At 44.9% G+C, this 23,100-nt stretch overlaps 1 protein-coding gene across 3 annotated transcripts in view, besides 2 other annotated features; it reads right to left on the reverse strand.

Moving 5' to 3' along the window:
- The window catches only part of XYLT1 (xylosyltransferase 1), a 369,192-nt gene that overhangs the window by 262,512 nt on the left and 83,580 nt on the right, over positions 1–23,100 (reverse strand). The window lies entirely within an intron of this gene.
- Positions 5,306–5,395: an enhancer, noted in NCBI's record as "active region_10508". NCBI's record gives its function as "activates an Ori minimal core promoter by ATAC-STARR-seq in GM12878 lymphoblastoid cells {active_cell/tissue: GM12878}" and the evidence as "EXISTENCE:reporter gene assay evidence [ECO:0000049][PMID:35858748]".
- Positions 11,746–11,815: a silencer, noted in NCBI's record as "silent region_7236". NCBI's record gives its function as "represses an Ori minimal core promoter by ATAC-STARR-seq in GM12878 lymphoblastoid cells {active_cell/tissue: GM12878}" and the evidence as "EXISTENCE:reporter gene assay evidence [ECO:0000049][PMID:35858748]".

A 23,100-nucleotide genomic window follows, 5' to 3' on the forward strand; every position in this document is an offset into this window, starting at 1 on the left:
ATTTTCTGGGACCTTTTTGTAAGGGACACTATTAATAATTATACAAGCTTAACAGGTATAAACCCAGACTGTCCCAGGAAACCCTAAGATAGGCTCCTCTTTGTCTTGAACACAGCATACCACTGACATCATGAGTTGTCGTGAACATTAAATAAAAATAAATACTGTACATAGTTACAACCTCAGAAATGATCTTCTCTTTGATTTCTTCCTCCAGGCTTACAAAGGCTGAGACATATCCCTCTATACTCAACCCTACTAAACCACAAGTCTTCTGAACTGCAAGTTACCGTAGATACGAGTGCAACCTATGTCACGTGACGGCAGTGAACTGAGCAAATTTAGCTAATTCGTTTTGAATGCTTACTTTATGCCAAGCATACGAAATTCCTGCAACGCTGCCAAGGGAGGTATCATGATCCCCATTTTATAGATCAGATAACTGATACTCTCAGAGAATAATTTGCTCAAAAACACAGGGCTAATCAGGAATGGAGCCAGGAGCAGTAAGCAAGTTTGTAAGTTGCCAGAAACTAGTCCTTTAACCGATATCCTGGTGTTAATCAAAAGTATGAACTTACTGAATCAGAATCTCTGGGCAAGGGTCCAAGGAATCTACATTGTTATGAAACACCCTTGGGGGATTCTTACGTACGCTGAACCGGAGAGACTTTACATGATACCTAAACTCTACCATGTGTAATGCAAGACTGAAAAAGCTTCCAAACTGACAAAGAATACGATTCCTGCCTCTGATCCCCAGCCAGCCATCAAGTGTCGGATGCATGCGTGAAACTCTTAAGAGCGTTGGTGTTCACGCTCTGCACCCCCAAGAAATTTCCAGGACGGGTGCAAAGTGTTCCCTTCTCCCCACTTTGGTGAAGAGATTTGCCTTGCCCTAAAAAACCTGGCTACCACCCTCCACTTTCCAGCATTTCCTCCTCAGGGAAGTGGGACTCTTTTTCAACTCCTCCTTCTTAGGGTCTCATTGCAGCAACCAAGGTGTTGCATAACGGGGCTTTCTCTTCAGATGTCCCCATGGGATTTCACACTGGCTCCTAAGACGAAGGCTGGGCACGTGCAGGGCAGGCGGCATGGGGTGATGAGGGAGGGATGCCAGTGATACAGAGGTGTCCTTGTTCTCTAAAAAAGACTGCATTTGGAATGTGAATGCAGGCCAGAATCACACAGCCCTCACCTTGTTGGAAAATGTGAACTCACCTTCAAATAGGGCTCAGGGGAGAAAACAGAAACCCCACAGAGAGAACAAGGGGATTCTCAATGTTTTACAGAAACGTTGGCAGTTAAAACTGGGTGTATTGCGCGCTCTCTTTCTCTCTTTTGTATTAAAAGCTTAAAAAGCTGGTCTTTCTGCTATCCTACTTTCATTCTACATTTTTTTAGCCCAGGACCCAGAAATGAGCAGTAGAACCTTAAAATGAAGCTTAGGCCCTTGGAGATGGCAATTCATCACCCACAGCCTTGGAAGATAGAGAAACCACAGACTCATGGAAACTTGGGAATTATCTTAATGCTTCTCCAGCTTGGTATGTGTATCCTTGAGCACAAATGGTTATCAAAAATCTAAACTCCTGTATTTAATACTTTGTTCTGTGTGTGCCTCAAGAGGTTTTGTAATTCTTTAAAAAGTACACAGAATTACCATCTTAGAATTACAAGGTTTTGAAGAAACCTACCTGAAAAGATTAGAGGCTTGAGCTACAGAGTGTTAAGACAAGAATGCCCAACTGGTGGCCTGTGGATGCTTCAAGCTGGTTTGCTTTTTTTTTTTTTTTTTGGCCTGCAGCCTTGATGAAATACTTGAAATCATTCATTGCCAATGTTTTAAAACCAGGATACTTCACATGCAAATCTAGATTTCTCACGTCTCCTTTAAGAACAGAAGATTTAGCAACACTGGATGTGTATTCTTGCAAGAAAACAGCTCCAGACTGAGTAGCTGGCCTGGCTACTGCAAGCAACAGAATTTATCACCCCCATATTAATGCAAATTGCCTAAGGTCACATAGCTAGTCAATATTGACAATAATCAAAATACCAGCTAACATTGTTCTCACACTGAATGCCAGGTATTACTGTAAGGGGTTTGTAAATATTATCTTATTTAATTCTTACAACTGTCTGGGTGTTGTGGCTCAAGCCTGTAATCCGTGGAGGCCAAGGCTGACGGATCACTTGCGGTCAGGAGGTCGAGACTGGCCTGACCAATATGGTGAAACCCCATCTCTACTAAAAATATAAAACTTAGCTGGGCGTGTTGGTGCATACCTGTAGTCCCAGCTACCCAGGAGGCTGAGGCACGAGAACAGCTTGAACCCTGGCGGCAGAGGCTGCAGTGAGCCAAGATAGTGCCACTGCACTCCAGCCTGGGTGACAGACTGGGACCGTGTCTTAAAACAAACAAACAAACAAACAAACCAACCTTACAAGAACTCCAGGAGGCAGGCACCAAAAGCCCCATTTTACAGATGGTGTAATTGAGGCTCAAAGGAGAAGTAATTTTTTCAAACTCATTCATTAGTGGGTGGTGAAGCCAGGATTTGAAACAGGGCATCCTTTTGGACCACTAAGCTACCCTGCTTCCCAGTGGTACAACCACATCTTGAACTGGAATCATTAAACCACAGTTCCTGGTTCTATCAGCATCTGGCACTAAGAAGCCATAAGGAGCACTGAATTGGATCAGATGCTCCTCATACTAGATGTTCTCATTTCCTTGCTGCGAGTCTTCAGGTCGACTACTTTGCTTTTTCCAGTGGTTAATGGTAATAATCATCACCATGATCCTCTCACACTCATTGTGGAGCACTGACTGAGATGTTCTACCAGAGCCCGGCTCAGTCCTGACAGAGTGGGTGGGCCACCAATGTTAGTTCCTCTTAGAAGACAATTGGCGACACTTTACAGTGTTTTGCTTTTCACAGCTCAGAGGCATCTCAGACCATAAACAAGACCTGCCACGTGCCAAGAAGGCAGCCGTTACCCGACATGGCCCAGACAGGAAGTGCTGGCTAAATCCCACCATGCCGCAAATCTTTCTAAAGGTGGCCACCCAGGCTGTGTTTGAACACACATCCTCCTGGAGCTGGGAACACACGCCACATCTATAATTCATCCCGATAATTAGCTTTTCCCAGGCACAGGCCGCAGCACCTATCAATTTTGCACCCACTTGCTGTGGTCACCAAGATGGCAGGTGGCCCAACTGGAACCAATACTGCCAAGTGTCCCACAGACATTGTCTGGAGTTCCAATGATACTATGTGACTTCTGGGACTGCTGGGTGAGATCTCTGTTCCACAGGAAAATAGTTCATATTTGAGCTCCAGAATCCAAAATCGTGAGTTCAAGAAAAGCACTTAGAGGTGCAGACCAGTTATGCAGCGAATTCACAATAAGTTGCCCGAGGCAGCTGTTACTAAGCAGTCCACCTGGCCTCAAATTCTCAATACGGCCCGAGGAGCAGATATTATTAATAGATTCCAGTTTCCCTAGATGTCCGTCCCTGACCTGAATCAAACCCATCACTGTTTGGTGAGGCATGGGAGATCCAGGAGGAAAGGCCTATTTCCTAAGGGCCACACACAGTTTGGATTAAAATTCAGTGTAGAATGTCAGTTTTTTGATACCAAATCTGGAGTTCATCCCATTTTGCCAAAATAAATTTCTATGCACATCCCTCCCTGCTTTTCTTCACTTCCTCCTCTTTTGCTCCTTCACAAGAGCCTCTGACCAGGACATCTATTGTCGAAGATACAGGAAAACTGTGATTCAGCAGTGCTTCGCGTCTGGAATGACTCCAAGAGGCCACACACAGAACTGCCGACACAAACCACGGGGGGCGGAAAAAACGATCCCAGGAGGTGGGGAGTGGAGAGCTTTGCAGTCCCAGGCTACAGCTCGGGATGTAGAGCTGCCTTCCTAGGACAGAAGAGAGACGATGAGAACACCTGGCTGGAAGGTGGCCCTGCAGGGGACGGATGGGCCTTCTACATTTAGAGTCAGGATGGAGTCAGAAAGCTTCAGCAGGGGAGGGACTCTGCCTGCAGCCTGTCCCCTCAACCTCCTCTAATATTTCTTAATGAAACGATAGTGACAATGAAGATGACAGCCTTGATGACAGCGCCCAGTAGACCGCTATCATTGGTTAAGTCCTTATGAGATACCATAATTCACCATTTATGAGCATTACTTCAATAAACCCACATTCTATCCTCATGAAGTGGCTGTTCCCAGAAGGCCATAAAGACTGGATAGATAGATTTTTTTTTTTTTTTTGGTTTTTACTTTAAAAAAAAAAAACGACAGGGTCTTGCTCTGCTGCCCAGATTGGAGTGCAGTGATGTAATCATGGCTCACCACAGCCTTGAACTTCTGGGCTCAAGCAATCCTTCCACCTCACCCTCCCAAGTAGCTGGGACTACAGGCCTGTGCCACCACGCCTGGCTAATATTTCATTTTTTGTAGAGATGGGGTCTTCCTATGTTGCCCAGGCTGGTCTTGAACTCCTGGTCTCAAGTGATCCTACTGCCTTGGCCTCCCGAATTGCTGGAATTGCAGGCAAGAGTCAGTGTGCCCAGTTTGCTTTTTCTCTTGATGACATTAAGTATTTCCTTGTTCCTGGATTATGAATACCCTGTAGTACTGTTCCTAATTTATATAGGAGGAAACTGAGGCTCAGAGAGTTTCAAAGACTTGGTTGAAAGCCACAGAGCCAGGCCCATTTAACCTTAATATCTTCAGAGAGGTTTAAAAAAAAAAAGAAAAAAAGGTAACCAAAATGCTTGGATGTGGTATGGTGTGATCTGCATGGTGCACAAAAATACTTCTTTTTTTTTTTTTTTTTTTAGATGGAGTTTTGCTTGTCACGCAAGCTAGAGTGCAGTGGCGTGATCTCGGCTCACTGCAACCTCCACCTCCCGGGTTCAAGCGATTCTCCTGCCTCAGACTCCTGAGGAGCTGGGATTACAGGCACATGCTACTAAGCCTGGCTAATTTTTGAACAATACTTTTTTTAAAATTAGGTGCCAGCATTTAAAATTTAGGGTGAAATCATGATATTCTGATTTGTGGCTTTTCGTGAAATGTGGAAAGATCTGACCCACTGGGTAGGCAGGTCCACTTAAGGCAGGCACATCCCCTTCTGTTTGCCACAACCCCACCCTGCCCACCTGGGCTGAGCCCTGAAAGCATCTAAGTTTATGACCTTCCTATCTGTTCACCACCATACCTTACCCCTCCCCCACAAAGGAAGGTACCATGTTACCCCATGAACATGACTCCAACCCTCACCCGCCAACCTCAAGAAGAAAAATTCGGGATCCCGTGACTTCACAGCAGAAACAGAAAAACTCAAATAATCCATCAGGAAGTTGAGCACTGAGGTTAATACACACAGGACCATCTTCCTCTAGCTCAACAGTCTTGACTTTTCAGGGCCGTGACCCAGAAGGGAGGTGCCCGTGCAGAAGGCAGAACAGGAAGAGGTTCTTAGCACCCACTGTTTTCTCTTCCTGCACAGCCGCCTTGGGCAGCTGCCTGTGAACAGCCTGGCTGTTTTTCTCCTAGCTCTCTCGGAAGGAAGTGCTCTCATCACCCACGACAACAGAGTTGGCCCGAGGAGCCAAAAACGTGCAAAGGGGCTCCAAGCCCAGCTCTCCTTCTGTTCGGGGCAGCCTCAGAGACAGGAAGATGGGAAGAAAGTATGGCCTGGGATAGAACATCCTGCGAGACCCTTACAAAGCCCCAGCTGTGGGGGAAGGGAACAACAGGAGGGGGCCAGAGGAAGGGGGTCCAGGTCACACCAATTTTATACAATGAGCTCCTTTCATCCGTGAATAGAGGACTCTCCTTAACTCTGTCTCAATGGCTTTGTTTCTGAAACGATCAATTCTACACCCAGAAAGCCAAATTTGCCAGACCTCATGCCAAGGTCAGGCAAGAGCCTGAGATCCCCCAAGCAAGTTGATAATCAACACGCAGGAGACGACGCTGTGCTAAGTCCCATTTGGCGGATCCAAAGCTTACAACGATCCGCTTTCATTTCTACGCCTTCTGCAGTGGGGCGGGGTTGGGGGACCCTCGCTCACATGCATGCCACGCTTGGTGGAACTGTAGGCTGTATTCAGGAGAGTAAGTGTTACTTTCCCAGGGACTTCATTGAGACATCTGCGGGGAGGGCAGGATGAGAAAGAGCTGGAGAAACAAGATGCAAGGTAAAGTGTGTGGTCTCACACTGAACACGTTCATGAAGTGGTGGGAAGCAACCCTAGTGACTCAGCAGTGGCCTCTGTTTAGCCAGCACTTTGAGAACACGATCTTCATGGGCTGACTGCAGAGGTGGCCAACAGAAACTGGAATCTACAAGCAGTATTCAGCTCAGGCATAGTTTGTTCAGCCTGCACAATGTTTTAAAAAGAACAACAAAAACCTACATAGGATGCCAATACTTCACATTCAGGAGGTTTCCCATAAAACTGCAAAGTTCTGGCATTTTTTGGAAAAATCAGAAGACCTAGCTACACAAATCCAGCATTTTCCTAAGGCACTGCCTTTCTGGCACTGGAAAGCAGCTATCTCCCTTAGAAGGGTCACAGGCCCTCCTGCTTGCCACAGTCCCCGCCCCAGACACATGTCCTTCACTTACGGCTGCCAGTGTGGCTGCTGTGGGCATTGGTGTTTGTAATCTCTGGTTTAGTGGATCCTAAGCTAAGCCCAGCACTTTCAGCTGGAGGACCTGAGGTTAGAGAGAAGGACGGGATATGAACCATAGACAGGTTGTAAAGTAACGTGGCTGCAAAGTCCAAGAATAATTTAACTCAAGAAGCACCTATGAATGCACACCCAGGAATACAAGGCAGAGAGCAAAGTTGACTCCCATGGATAGGGGTGAGAGTCCTGTCTTCTCATCAGCCCCTGCTACATACTTTTGACAACTTGTCCCACTTCCCCAGGACCAGGGACTATCTTCTTTGTTTTTATGCTTAATGAAGTCCTAAGACTGCCACATAGAAAGCACTTGGTAAATTCTTGCTGAACCAAAATCAACGGAAACCCAATTCATGTTATAGGTGGAATCTGAGAGATGTATGCTGAGAACTCAGCCAACTTCTGAGCTGTAGGATGTTTTCCTGACTGTAAGTCAAGGCAAGTCCTCCCTATAAAGAAGAGTTTGGGGTATAAATGACACAGCAGAAGGAGACAAGCTCAACCTACTGATTGGCTAATGTCTGAGATGAGGAAGCAGAAAGGTTAGTCTTTATAGGATATGTAGCATATCTGATGAGCTATGGTCTGTTAGGAAGGTACTATACGTACTAATTTCATAAAATTGAAGTATGTTCCAACTTATCAAAGGATGCAAAAACTCCACAGAAGGAAGGAAGGACCTCATGTGGTGGCAGGTGCAGCATATTTTACTGCAACCTTTCTAGGTCTAAAAAGGTAAAATGAGGTTTATCACATCTGCTTCTGCTGTGTATAGCCATGGCTAGTTTTCTCCAGCTCTGTTTATTAAGAGACAGAGAGAAAGAAAGAGAGAGTGTATGTGTGTGAATATGCATGTGTGTACACACACATATGTGAGCATCCACATGCACATACAGGTATGCATGTGTGGTCTCTTTCATTCAACACCCCCCCAAAAAAAGTTGCTATGGGATCTGTAGATTTTGTTTGCTGAGTATCCCTAATTTTGGAATTCCCTCTGTTCTAAGTTGCCCCATTCTTGGTACTAATTTCAAATGGCTGTGGGGGAGGGGAGGCTAGCTTCAGACAAGATTCCACTAAGAGTTTTACTTCTGAGCTGGGATAGAAGCAGGAAAGAATAACAGGAAAAACATGCAGCATCCCATCTCTGCACTTTGCATTTAGTTATAATTATTCACGCAGGAGCATCTTTAAACACCAAACGAGGGAAATATTACAGTTGTTCTGATTTCACATGCTAACTGTGTTTACATGCTAACAGCATTTCTCAGGGACAATTATCTTATTACTAGTGCACTAATCTTTTCAATCTTTTCAACACATTTTACAGCTGCAGACTTCAAAAATTAAGGCTAATTAAGACCTTGCTTTCAGCAGGTACAGTAAACTACTCACATTCCAACATGGTAAAAGAAAATCAGTTTAGGGGAAAGGGTGTTAGAGGGGCACAGTGTCAATGGCAGACAGAATACATTAGATAGCTTCCATCAGTGTGAGGACTACAACTCTCCCAATGCTAATGTTCAAGAACAAGTTCCATTAATGGTAAGGCCTGTCGAATTCAGGACCAAGGACAGCTGGTCTGGCCCATTTTTAAGAGAAAGTGGGTATTTTGCATTCAATTATCCGTTTCCATTCATTATCTTCTTCCGTGTGACTTCAGCATAGAATAGTGGCTAAGAACATGGAAACTTGTATCAGAGTCTCTGTGTACAAATGCCGGCTCAATTATTTTCCGTTTGAACTTGAGCAAATTACTTGAGATCTTGGTGCCTCAGTTTCCTCATATGCGAAGTAGGAATAATAATAATGACATATACCTACTTCCCAGGCCTGTTATTAGGATTCACCGAATATCTGTAAAGCACTTACAACAATGTCTGATCATAATAAATCATCAAATACGTATTTCTTTTAAAAAGTGTGGTCTATAAGGACTAACAACAAACATCTGTTTTCTAACACGTTCTTGACCTCACATGTACTCACTGCATTATGGGCCATTTGAGGGCTGCTAATATATAATCATAGCTATATTTATTGTGCCTGTTAGCAATACATTCTCCAGTTACTTGCCCTGCTATCTCATTAGCTGCCATATAAAACCAGCACCTTGGATCATCCAATATTATTTTTTGTTTTGTTTCGTTTTAAATCACAGAGAAGCAGAATGCTCTCTGAAGGGCTGTTGTTGGAATCCATATTCACAGTCCAGCTTCTCAGATCCCAAGCAAAAGCTCTGGCATCCCAAGTTGTGGCGTCTGAGAAACCAGTAATCAGCGTCTACAGTGCTCGGGCCACTGACGTTCATCAGGCACCTACTATGTGCCTCAACCTAGGCTTGAGAGGCTGCTTTTTGAATGCTCACACCAACTCTGTGGGGAAGATAATGCTGGCCCCATTTTATAGATGAGGAAACTGAGGCTTCAGACAATTCTACAGCCACAAAACTTGTGAATAAAACAAAGTTACCGTGTAGTACACGTGTTTCATTCTCTCCAGCCACACACTTTTAAGCCAGCTGGCGGAATTTCTCAAGATGATGAATACTATTATTTTTACTAGCTGTAGAACTCATAATAATGGTTGTTACCATCAACACCAACATACAGCATGTGCCAGGCACTGACATATTTTACTCACTTAATTCTGACAACTGCCCTTAAGGAATGGACTCCTATTAGCCTCTATTTACAGATGAGGGACCTGGGCTCAGAGAGGTTATGCCATGTGCCCAAAGTCACACAGCTGCACAGTGTTGGAGCTAGAATTTGATCAAATTCAGGAGATCCAGCTTGAGAACACTGCTCGTGAACACTATTCTCCAGCCTCTCGTAATACCTATAAAATTCAACAACTGTCTCCTTTTCAATGGACACATAAGGTATCTTTAACAAGATAGCTACAGGGAGTATTGATTCCATCATCTTATATCAAACAACTGATTGCAAAATTGGTGATTTAGTTAGATTTGTGATAAATGCTGCCAAAGGGGAGAAGGTAGGGACAGAAAACACAGGAACTTCATCCAGGAGAGAAGATCAGAAAGGTTCTTTCAGAAAGGGAGAATTAAACTGGCTGCCAAAGAATGAGTGAGAATCAACTTGTCCAAGGTAGAGGAGAGGACAAGCATTTTAGGCAGAAGGAGAAGCATGAATAAAGGCTCTGTGGTGGGAAGGCACTCATAATTTTGAGGACACAAAGAAAGGAAGTCTGAATCTAGAATCAACATTGAGAAGGTGAGTAGCATATGATAAAGTGGTAGGATTTGGTGTAGGGGCCACCAGGTCAGGGAGTCCCTTTGGGTGCTAGGAAGGAGCTTGAGTCTTATCCAAAGAGCAACAGGGAGTCACTGCCAAAGTTCCTGTGTAGATTGATTGGAATCTTCATCAGGATCAGCCTTCACTCCTACTCCCTAGATTATAATATTTGGCTTTTACATAATCAGATCCAAAGGTACTTCTGAAAACCAACTCAGTGAATCAGCACACTGAAGATTTTCAAAATAAGTCTCAAATAATTCCTATTCCCCATTTTTAGGGATCATGATATAACCCACACGGTCTAAGACATTATGTTGCTACTACCATGCCGTACTAATTATTCAACCCTCAGTATTGTTATTACAGACAGAAAAAAAAAAACAAGAGGTGATATCTTGTAACATGAAAGTCAAAAAAAATCTTTTTTCTGTCTAAAATAGAAGGACAAAAAAAATCAATCTAGGTTAGAAAACATCAATTTGCAAGAGTTCTATGGCTGAGGAAAATGGCATGAGTATTTGTAGGCTGAAACAAATGAGCAGCTAAAACATCCCCCCACCACCTCCCACACATAACCAAATGGGACAGACTACTTCTGGCATGTTTCCATTTACTCACACCTACAATGTGCTAGGTGCTATGGTTTATTTCAACCCCATAACCAGTGTGACCAAGCATCCCAGCTTGCCTGGGACTGAGGATATGGGACGTTCAGCACTAAAAATCAGGCATATCCCAGACCAACTAGGACACACTGGTGGCTCAACCTGCAACAACCACAGCTATTAATATAAGGCAGACACAGGCTCAGAGAGGTGGAGACACTTGTTAATGTCACACAGCAGGTAAGGGGCAGAGACCAAGATTCAAGTTCCAGTCCGTGCAACTTCAAATCCTATAATAACATTTCTTAGGCACTTATTATGGACTAGGTAGTGCTTTAAGCCCATTTAGAAGCATTATAAGCATTAATTAATCCTCGCAACATCTCTATGAAGTACATACTATTCTGGGTCTTGTTTTATAGATGGAAAATTCAAAGCTAAGATTAGCTAATAACTCACCCAAAATCCCCCAGCCAAGAGGGACCTGGCTTTAGTGCCTATATTGTTAACCGGCCCATCCAACAGACCCCTGGGCAAAAACCCTGTCGCAATGCAAAAAAAAAAATAAAATTTTAGCTGTTTCTTGTTCAAGATAACATTTAAAACACACACACACACACACACACAGAAAAGATTAGACGAGAGGTCTGGAAAAACAAGTTGCTCTGAGTCTTACAGCCACCACAAAGCAGGAATTGCTAGTGGCTGCTGATTTACAAGGCTCTCTGGTGAATTACAGAAAGGGAAATACAGTCAGATTTGATAAGGCTGGTCAAGTTCGGTGCTCAAGAGCAGTCCATGATCCAGAGAGGCCGGGAACATGCTCCTGGGCCCTCGTGCCCATCAGATCAATCCCCACCGGCCAGGTGGATGGGTCTGCTGTTGGGACAGGCAGCCTGGAACCACATTTCCACGCTTCAGATAAAGGTGGCTTCCGGAGCCCGGCCTTTCACTACCATGCCCTGGGGGCACCACAGGCAAAGACCCAGACTTGAACGGCTGGAGCCACTGGTGTCCCTACGATGTATGTGCAGGGGGAGGTGGCAGTGTTGAAAAGGGACGGTCATCACTGCACCACCATTACCATTAGCATTAATCACTGAGTGTGTTTGCTTGCGTCAGAGCCTGTACTGTTAATAAACCCTGACCTGTGTATCCAACCACTTTACAGAGAAGGAAGTGGGACTGTGGATCACAGCCAGCGTTGCCCTAGGGCTTAGAGGGGCCCATCCCACTGTGCTTTCACGACCTGGTGGCAGTGGTTCTCAACCAGGGGGGTGGTTTTGTCCCCCAGGGAACATTTGACACTGTCTAGAGACACGCTTATTTGTCATAACTTGAAAGGGAGCGTGTACTGGCACCTAGAGGGTAGAGACAGGGATGGCGCTCCATATCCTACAATGCACAGGTCAGCTGATCCTTTATCCAGCCCCAAACATCTATAGTATGGGGCTGAGAAACCCCAACCTAAGAGGACAGAGGTAGGCCAACCACAGCCAGCCAAGCTTGCAGGTTGTGTCCTTCCAGACCCTTCCTCAGGGTACCAGCCACTCAAACTAGAAGCCAGTGCTCAAGAGGATGGGTGATGTCTCTTTTGCTCACAGCTGCATCTGAAGGGCCTAAAACAGATTTGGTGACTTGTCTTTTCTGTTAAAGAACAGGGACCTGGCTGGGCACAGTGGCTCACGCCTATAATCCCAACACTTTGAGAGGCCAAGGCAGGAGGATCACTTGAGGTCAGGAGTTCAAGACCGGCCTGACCAAGATGGTGAAACCCCGTCTCCACTAAAAACACAAATATTAGCTGGGCATCATGGCTTGCACCTGTAATCCCAGCTACTTAGAAAGCTGAGGCAGGAGAATCGCTTGAATCCGGGAGGCGGAGGTTGCAGTGAGCCGAGATTGTGCCATTGCATTCCAGCCTGAGCAACAAGAGCAAAACTCTGTCTCAAAAAAAAAAAAAAAAAAAAAAAAAATAGGGACCAAATGACGAATGAACAAGAAATGCACCCAACCAGGCCAGGTGTGGTGGCTCACACCTGTAATCCCAGCACTGTGGGAGGCCAAAGCAGGCAGCTCACTTTAGGTCAGAAGTTCGAGACCAGCCTGGCCAATATGGTGAAACACCATTTCTTCTAAAAATACAAAAATTAGCCGGGCATGGTGGCACATGCCTGTAATCTCAGCTCCTCAGGAGGCTGAGGCAGGAGAATTGCTTGAACCCGGAAGGTGGAGGGTGCAGTGAGCCAAGATCGCACCACTGCACTCCAGCCTAGGTGACAGAGTGAGACTCTGCCTCACACACACACACAAAATTAGGTACTATTCTGGGTCTTGTTTTTATAGATGGAATAGTCAAGGCTCAGATTAACTAATAACTCACCCAAGATCCCCCAGCCAGGAAGAAGGACCTGGTTCTAGTGCCTATGTTGTTAACCTGCCCATCAAACAGACCTGTTGGGACCTCATGAGGCCAGACACTAACCCCCTGTCCTCAGCTAGACATGGCGATAGAGTTCCCATTGTCTGGATGGCAGAATCTTCCCATCACTGCAGTGGTTCAAGACATCCAGGCTCTTTGTTTGGCGGGACAGCCAGCCTGCTCTATTCTCAGGGGAAGGGCTTTGAGAATGGCTTATTTAGCTCACTCCCCAAGAAGCTTATCACCCCAACCCCACCCCTGCCCAACAAACACATTCCCATCAGGAAAGCTGGACGACCCTGCCTTCCATGGAATGGAAGCTATGATCCCATCCATTCAGTTCAGCCTCTCATAAACGCTCTGTTCCAAACATAACCAGAATAGTCAGGGAGTCCTCGAAACCCAGACATGACTTATTTTCTATTTCTAGCTTAACCACGTGATGCCTGTGAGTTTCAAGCACTGGAGCATCCCCATTCACGCTGGAACCATCTCATCTAGAAAGGGGAGGGTGTACAAGCAGCTCTGGATCAGCCCACTGGGGTTCAGAACAAGCAAAAGAATTTCTTTACCTCCCCTGAGTTTCAGCCTCAAAGAGCAGCAAAGAACCTGGAGCCCATTAAATCCAGCTGTGCTCATTGTACAAAGGGAAGAACTGAGGCTTTGGAGGACAAAGAAGATACCCAGATGATCTGCATTGCTCTTTTTCTCCCTTGCTTCTTTCTCTCTTGTTGAATTGGAATAGGTCAAACCTGTCTACAGTACTCAAATGTCACGGGGGTTTCCTCCACTAGGCATGGGGCAGAGCTTATTCTCAATAAATGTTCGAGAATGAAACGTCAGCAATTAACTAGCAGGCAACTTTGGAGAGGATTTCACTTCCCCTATAATTAAACACAACAAATGGCACGAATGTTGAAGGGACAATATGCATGGGTGTGTGTGAGAAAGAGGAAGAGACTGCAGTTCCCATACCAAATAGGTATTTATTTGTTCCAAGACTTTTTTTTTTCACCAAAAAATGCTTTAATATAATCACCTTTTAAATAATATACACTGTCATCTTGATTATGTCTATTGGGCTTACTCAAAGAGGCCAGGACCTTGCAGAGAAATGAGCCTGAGGTTTCCTTCTGCCAGGTCACCAGTCAATGGATATTTCCCAAAAGGTGGATCTTTTAATATATGACTGCATAATTTAACCTAAAATCCTAGTTAGTATTCTAGCAAGATGTCTCCTTCTAATTGAGGTAATTTCTAGGAATATGTTGCTAAAAGTTTCCTTTTCTTCAAATAAAGCAATAACTGCCATTTATGAAGCACGTATTAGGTGCCAGGTACTTCACTGGCCTTAACTCTTTGTAACTCATGTTTTCACCGTCACGACAACACTGTAAGGCAAATTACGACCAGTTCACAGCCAGGAAAACTGAGACTGAGGCAGAAAAGTAACTGGCCCAGTGCTGCAGAACCAGTAAGAGGCTGAGCTGGGGTTAGAACCTAGGAATGACTCTCAAGTCCAAGCTCTTTATACTGTATTCTCCTAAGCTCAGATTAAAACCCACTCCATCCCCTACTTTCTTAGTATTTCTTCATAGACAGAATATTTCAAGGAATTTAACTTTTACCACAAGGGATACAAAACAAGGAATGAGAGGACCTGTCTTACCTCCGCTTTATCACAACCACTTTGCAAAGTTACTGAGATTCAACAGCTTTGTCTGCTAAATGGGCACATAGCCCTTCAACCACTCCTTTGCTTTGCTGCCAGAAACAAAGGAAAAGGCAGGAAAAAAGTGCATATTTCTTCCAGAATTGTCAGAGGCCAGCAGATCTTCCTGCAGGATGTCAGCCTAAGCAATCTTTCAAATGCTCCCCGGGCAGGCAGCCCAACCCACCACACTCCGCTCCAAGGAGACACCTCCTAAAATAAACCCTGCTAACTTCAGTTAGCTCACCCTAAAGACTATATATAGAAGAAAAGACTCAGGAGTTCCCATTTGGCAGCAGCTTCTCCAAAACTCAGCGCAAATGGCTGATTTCTAACTTAATCTCCAACATCTGACAGGCGGCTTTAAATCAGGGAGGCCGACTAAGAGATGGAAAACCTCTGTGAGGCCAGCCCAGCCTGCCTGGGGGCAGAGACACCCCAGGGCTTTTCAGCAAACTGGAATGGCATGAAAATGGGAACCTGGCCCCCGGAGGATGCGGGAGAGAAATTAGACAAGGTGTGGTGGGTGGGAGCAGGATCCAGCCCAGCCAGGCCACTGGGCATGTTGTGGGGGTAGCTGGGGGTAGAGGACAGTGATCTGTACAGAGGCACTGCTGTGAATTCTGAATCTTGGTGTCTTCTGGGCCTCATGTTATCCTAGAGAATAACAGAAAGCCAGGGAAAGCTTTGAGTCTCCACATCTATGAAATGAAGGATATCTCTCTCTCTCTCTCTCTCTCTCTCTCTCTCTCTCACACACACACACACACACACACACACACACCCCTTACCTCCAGAGAGCCAGACATTCACTCTCAAGACACTTTTGAAAATACTGGTCTTTCCAAAGACCATCATTTGTATTTGTATTTGAAAGATTGCTTAGGCTGAATTCTGTAGGAAGACCTGCTGGCCTCTGATAGTTCTGGAAGAAATATGCACTTTTGTCTCCATTTTCCTTTGTGTCTGGCAACAATGCTAAGAGGTGGTTGGAGGGCTGGGAGCAGTGCCTCACACCTGTAATCCCAGCATTTTGGGAGGCCAAGGCAGGCGGATCACTTGAGGTCGGGAGTTCGAGACCAGCCTGGCCAACATGGTGAAACCCCATCTCTACTAAAAACACAAAAATTAGCTAGGCATGGTGGTGCACACCTGTAATCCCAGCTATTCGGGAGGCTGAGGCAGAAGAATCACCTGAACCCAGGAGGCGGAGGTTGCAGTGAGCTGAGATCATGCCACTGAACTCCAGCCTGGGCGACAGACCCAGAATCTGTCTCTAAATAAATAAATAAACAAATAAATAAAAATAAAAAGAGGTGGTTGGAGCGAGATGTGCCCATTTAGCAGACGAAGCAGTTGACTCTCAGTAACTCTGCAAAGTGGTTGTATATCCCATGGAAGGATATACAAGAAATTGTTAGCAATGATTCCTTTAAAGACAGAGACTGGAAAAGAAGGAGAAGTCTCCTATTTTATATCCTTTTCTCATGGGGGAATTTTGTTATCACATGCTTATACTCCTTATATTTAAAAAGCAAGTGTCATTCACAGATGGAGGGATAATAAGGTGGCTTCTCAAAAAATTAAATATAGAAAAACTAGATGTCAAATGCTATATAATCAGCAATTCCTCCTCTGGGTTCACAACCTAGTGAAAAGAAGGGGCTTGAACAGCTATTGGCATATCTGTGTTCAAAGCAGCATTACTCACAGTAGCTAAAAGGGGAAAGCTAGCCTAGTGTCCCTCCTGGAAGATCTGCGTGGATAAACCAAATGCAATACACACATACCATGGACTAGTCAGCCTTAAAAAGGAAGGAAATTCTGACACATTCCGTGACAGGGACAAACCTCAAAGACATTATTTATGCTAAGAGAAACCAGCCAGTTACAAAAGGACAAATACTGTGTGATTCCACTTATAGGAGGTACTTAGCGTAGTCAAAATCATAGACACAGAAAGAAGAATGGCAGTTTCCAGGGGCTGGGGGTGAGAGTGGACAATGAGGGGCTATACTTTGTTGTCGTTGTTTCTTTTTTTGTTTGTTTTGGCCTGCAAAGCGTTTTAGAACTTTTCAATTAATCGCTAATGTTTGAAACTCAGAAAATGTAAACAAATCTAGAGTGAGAGAAAGCTCATCAGTTGTTTGCCTGTGGATGGGGTTTGGGGAAGAGGGAGGTAGTTATTGTAAAGAGAAATAAGAAAATCCTGGGGGTGATGTTCATTATATCCAATAATTTGGGGTGATGATGTCACAGGTGGATACAGATATCAAAACTCATCAAATTTTACACTTTGAATATGCATAATTTATCACAAGCTAATTACATTTCAATAAAGCTGGACAATTTTATTTATTTCATGCTATTCAAACAAAAAAGAAAAAAAAGAACAAATAAAAGGCAACACCTTTTTTTTTTTTTTTTTTTTTGAAATGGAGTCTCACTCTGTCACCCAAGCTGGATTGGAGCGCAGTGGCATGATCTCGGCTCACTGCAACCTCTGCCTCCCAGTTTCAAGCAATTCTCCTGCCTCAGCCTCCTGAGCTGGGATTACAGGCATGCACCACCATGCCTGGCTAATTTTTGTATTTTTAATAGAGACGGGGTTTCACTATGTTGGCCAGGCTGGTCTTGAACTCCTGACCTCAAATGATCCACCCACCTCAGCCTCCCAAAGTGCTGGGAATACAGGTGTGAGCCACTGTGCCTGGTCGCAATATCTTAATAAAATAAATGGAGATTGAATTATTAATAGAAAATGTCTAACATTTTAGTTCTGACAGTCTATGAAATTGATTCTAAATCCAAGGAAACATTACAGAAGGAGAAATTAAGATTTCTAGGAATGAATTTATTTACTCAACTAACAGTGGCAATGGATGTGGGCTAACAGTGCACTTCAACTTTATCTCAGTTAATCCTCACTGCAAGCCCATGAAGCATCTGTTGGTATTTTCCCCATTGAACAGATGACAATACTGAGGCACAGAGAGGCCACCTTCCAGAATTGGGATGAGGGCAGGGATGATTCCAGAGTCCATGCTCTTACCCACTGTGCCGTGCCCCCTCCCTCAATTGTCATTGGACACCCACTATGTGCTGGGCACTCTCTTGGCTAGATTCACAGTGAGAGAAGCCACTTTGGGCCAAAAGGCTGCAAGAAGGGGCAAATGGAGATGCCGGTATTTGGGCCTCTCCATCTTTCTGGGGTGGAAAGTATCACTGCACATCATCACAGGTACACGGAGAGCTCCACGGTGGGCCCATTTCAGCAAGAGGCATTTTAAGGTCCCAGGAATTGTCCAAGGCACTGCTGCCCCATAAAACTTTCTGTGATGATAGAAACAGTCTCTGTACTGACCCCAGTGGAACTCACTAGCCACACGTGGCTGCCCACCACTTGAAATGTGGCTGTTACAAATGTGGAATTGCATTTCTAATTCTATTTAAGATTACTGAATTTCAGTGTTAATGGGACCCCACACAGAGTGGATTGCACAGTGTCACTGTGTCAGCAGAGCACAGCCTGGAGATCAAAGCACAGCACAAAGGTTGGCATCTCAGGACTCGGGGCAGGCCAGCCAAGAGTGCAACCAGCACAGCACATGGGAGATGAACTTGGCCCTACAGAGGAGCCAGTGTAACTGCCTCTGAATGCCCCCTTATCTACGTTTGAGTCAACCAGGATACTGAGGGCCATGTGGACCACAACACACATGCTCCAGATAACAGTCCCCATACTCCAGATAACGGTCCCCATACTGGCACTCACTATCCCAGACGTCTCGTGCAAGACACTTTAGTGCATTACTTCCTAGAGACCGCAAGAAGGAGTAACTCCCATCCCCATTACCCAGGTGAGGAAACTGAGGTACAGAGAAATGAAGCAACATACTCAAGGTCACAGTCACTGGCAAAGCTGGGATTTGAACCCAGGAGGTTTGACTGCAGAGGACAAATTTCAAACAACTACCCAGTCCCATCTCCCAAGACAGAGTCACACCATGCCGCCTGTCCTGAGACCCACGTACTCACTTCCAACAAGCTGCAGGCAGAGGCTTTCCTTTTGGTGGGAGGAGAAAAGCCAGGCTTCCCATGGAGAGAGTGAGAAAGACACAGTCACAATCCCAAGCACAGGGACAGACCGTTCCTTCTAAACCACCGTCACTAGCCACAAACACAGGAAATGCACAGCAGCTTCACATCTTCCTCCTCATTTTGCACGGCCCATTCTCTCTGCCAGGAATCCCTTCTTCTCTTGCCCACCTGGAGGATTCATATTTATCCTTCCCAATTCAAGACGTTTTATTGGAAACCTTTCCTGACCTCCGAAGATAAGTAGACCACTCCCTCCTCAGCTAGCTGGTTGCGGTCACTGCCACCACGACTCTATCCTGTAATTACTTCTCTCTAAGCACCCATCTTCCTCACTCCACTGTAACATTCAAGATTCCTTGTGGCAGGGGCTGGGTCTTATCCACTTGTTTTCCCAGAGCCAAACAGGGTGTCTGACATACGGTCCTGGCTCGGCAACTGTTGACTTGCAATGGCAATGATAAGATGAATGATTTCAACAAAAGGAACATTTACATTTTAAGAGCTGAATCAAGAACTCGCTTATGTCAAAGAAAGAGACTAGTGAGTATCCCTCAATGTCTTGGGCACTGGAAACAGGCCAGGGTGTGTTTTCCAACTCAGCTACTTTCTATAATAGCTGTGTGACCCAAAGTGGAATTTTCTTTTTTTTTTTTGAGACGGAGTTTCACTCTTGTTGCCCAGGCCAGAGTGCAATGGCAAGATCTCGACTCACTGTAACCTCTGCCTCCCAAGTTCAAGTGATTCTCCTGTCTCAGCCTCTCGAGTAGCTGGGATTATAGGTGCCCGCCACCACGCCTGGCTAATTTTTGTATTTTTAGTAGAGACAGGGTTTCGCCATGTGGGCCAGGCTGGTCTCGCCCTCCTGACCTCAGGTGATCTGCCTGCCTCCACCTCCCAAAGTGCTGGGATTATAGGCATGAGCCACCGCGCCGGCCCCTAAGTGAAGTTTTAACCTCTTAAAGCTTTCCGGTTTCCCTCCATAAGATGAGGATAACATTAGGATCGGCCTCTGGGGGTTGCTGGGAGGATCACCTGGGCTAATAATGTATGTAAAACACTTGGCATAGAACCTGGGCTTCTATAAAGCAGTTCCAGCCCTGGGCCCAAAGGATCAGAATGAAAGCAAATGAGCAGGTAGGAGTTGATGCTGTACAACCAATCCCAGGTAAGTAGGTGGTTTTGCCAATTTCTTCTCCTTTAGTCCCACCAAGTTCTGAGAGACCCTGGGCCCATTCTGTCTCTCGGCTGGCCAGACCCGGTTTTCAGGGGCCCTCAGAAAAGAGGTCACCCACTGATCACCTCCCTAGCTGAATCTGACTCTTATATATTTTGTTTTGAACTGCAAAGTGTTTTTAAATTTTTCAATTAGCCGCCAATGTTCAAAGCTCAGGAAGACTGTGCATTCAAATTCTGGATGTCTAACCTTCTTTGAAAAATTAGATTTGGCCTCACTGGGTTCATACTTTGAATTGACTGAATCTGAGAGGCACTGTCTACTTCAGATGTGGTGTGGGAGTGCCCAGTCCCCATGTGGCCAGGACACTTGTTCTCACTACCAACCCTGCCCAGAAAACATCTAACTTTGCAACTCCTGCCCTAGGGAAGGAAGTTGGCCAGAAATAGGCTGTTTTATTTAGCAAAGCTATTAGCTAAAAGCAGGGAGCAGCTCCGAGGGTGAGTAAAAATCCGCATTCCAAACTCATCTGACTTCTCTTTGACAGCACCGGTATGTAAAGATACAGATGAATTAATCATTCCGTTTAGTAATAAACTAACCCTGTTGTTGCTGCCTCTGTCATGGAGAAAGCAAAAAATCAATCGCTGGTGGAAGCACTTCTCAATCTACACCTGACAGAGGGGCGACAGTTAGTGCTGTCCTATTCCCAGCATCGGGCCTGGAGGAATTCCTGATTTTAGGTGACTGCAGAGTCCTTGAAGGAGGTAAAAGCTGCTCACAGCCTGACAGTTCTCTGCATTTACTCCCAAAGAGGAGATGACGGAGCAGAGAGACATGATCCGATGAAGAGACAAACCTGTCCATGTCACTCACCTTTATGTCTTATTGGAAGTGTCACCTCTTCGTAGATGTGACAACTGAACCTAGTAAATAGAGGCCCCCGCTGCCTGCCCCATCCCCATAACACACATAAACACACATACACACACACACACACACACACACACACACACACACACACACCTATGTACTCCACTGTTGGCCTCCCTGGAACATCTGCCAGAGGCTGTAATATCTTATTTGTTCTCTTGTGTGCTCTTTTCAGCTATATTATATGCTGTACGAAGAAAGTAGCCTTGTCTGATTTGATCTGTTTCCAGCTACTTGTCTGTTTCTGGCACCTCACATAGCCCTTGGCACCCAACGAGCCCTTCCTGAAAATTTGCAAATGCATTTTTGACACAATACACGGTATTCTGTAACGTTTCCAAACTTCCAATGCCCATGCACTAGTTTCACGGTTTTTGCCATATTTCTGTACCACCCAGTCCAGTAACTCAGTATTTTCTTCAACCAACTCTCATCTTGTAGTGAAATAGATCTCTTTTTAAAATAAAGCTTTACGGCCATGCATTTGGTCAATAGAGAGACACCTGTAATTGATGAGCTCTGGAGTTGACAGTCACCTATGAGCAGTGTGACCCTGGACAAGTGAGTTAACAACAGTCTATGAAATTGATTCTAAATCCAAGGAAACACTACAGAAGGAGAAATTAAGATTTCTAGGAATGAATTTATTTACTCAACTAACAGTGGCAATAGATGTGGGCTAACTGCACTTCATCTGCAAAACAGCACTAACAATAGCACCTACTGAATACAGAGGTGGTTCAAGGGTAAATGACTTAAAACATGTAAAGTTAATTTACGGCAAGTGCTTCCAATAGTGCCTGCCACAGAGCCAACACGATATGAATACTGCTTGTATTGGTATTATTTAGGGGGGAAAACCGGTATCGCTTTAAATAAATACATGACAATTAAAAAAATCACTTATGTAACAGCTGAGAAACACTTTTGGAGACATGGGCTAAGCCTGAGTTTTACTGCTACCCAAATGTGAAAAGCACCCCCTTCGCCAGGTCCTCATCTCCCATCTTTTAAATGAAGATGTTGGGCCGGGCACTCTAAGATTCCATCCATCTTCCAGTTCTGAATCTCTGACTCTCAGTCATGGATAACACTACCTTAAAAGAAATAAAATAGGAAAAACCTGAATTTACACAATAAGCTCAAAAGGAAAGAGCTGGAGGCGGGGAGGTTATTCACATTCCCAAAGGATTTGCTTTTACAAAGGGATTAACAGCAGAGTTGCTTTAAATAGCAGCTTAAGCCTTGTTTATGGATTACTAGATACTTGATGGAGAGGTGGAGGGGCTCAGGAACTTGGAACAAAAGCTTTACTACACCCAGGCAGAAATGAAAAAGCGCATATGTTTTCTTTAAAATTACAATACACATCAACAGGAGAAATGATTCCATTTCAAGGAAGCTGATTCCTACTCAGTATTTCCGTTGCATGTCAATTGCATCCAAGAAGATATGCCTGTATCCACGAGCCAGTTTAGAGCAGTAATCCAGTGTTCATATTTTTAAGCCCCTATTATAAGAGCACTGATAATTTATTAAATGTCCCAGGCACTGTTGAGCATATGACATGCATTACCTCATCTAATCTTCACAGTAACCCAATAAGGCAGGTGTAGTTGTCATCATCCTTTTACAGATGAAGAAACTGAGGCTAAGAGAGGGGAAGTGACTCACCCATGTCAAAAGATGGCAAATTTAATAGTCAAGCCAAAGCGCATGAACCTGGCTCTGAGGTTAGATTATAAAAGGTAAGATCCTTGTCTCAAAGAGGGCACAGAACAGCCACGGAGGTCAACAGACTCAGAGGAGGATGATAAATGCCCCAAGAGACACCTTTGAGGGAGCAGAAGAAGAGGATATCAAGGTCTAGGGTGTGCCCAAAGCCAGGAGTGACCTCATCTGACCCCCAGGTGTCCATATTCGAGCATCTCTAAACACTCAGTGTATGGATTCCTCTCCTCCATCCTTCATGCATAGACCCTCTTATCTGTACCTCCCTATGCACAAACCAATGTGTCCTAGGCCACTCTATTCCCGAAAGGTGGGCTGTGGGACTGGAGGCAAAGAGAGAAAGAACAACTGTTGCAGGGTCTCTGCCAGCACCCACACTGCTTCACTAGACTACCTGAGAGCTTCCCATTGCCTGGTTTTCCTCCTTTGAA

This window comes from Homo sapiens, chromosome 16 (genome assembly GCF_000001405.40).
Source record: "Homo sapiens chromosome 16, GRCh38.p14 Primary Assembly".
In the NCBI taxonomy this organism is placed as follows: domain Eukaryota; kingdom Metazoa; phylum Chordata; class Mammalia; order Primates; family Hominidae; genus Homo; species Homo sapiens.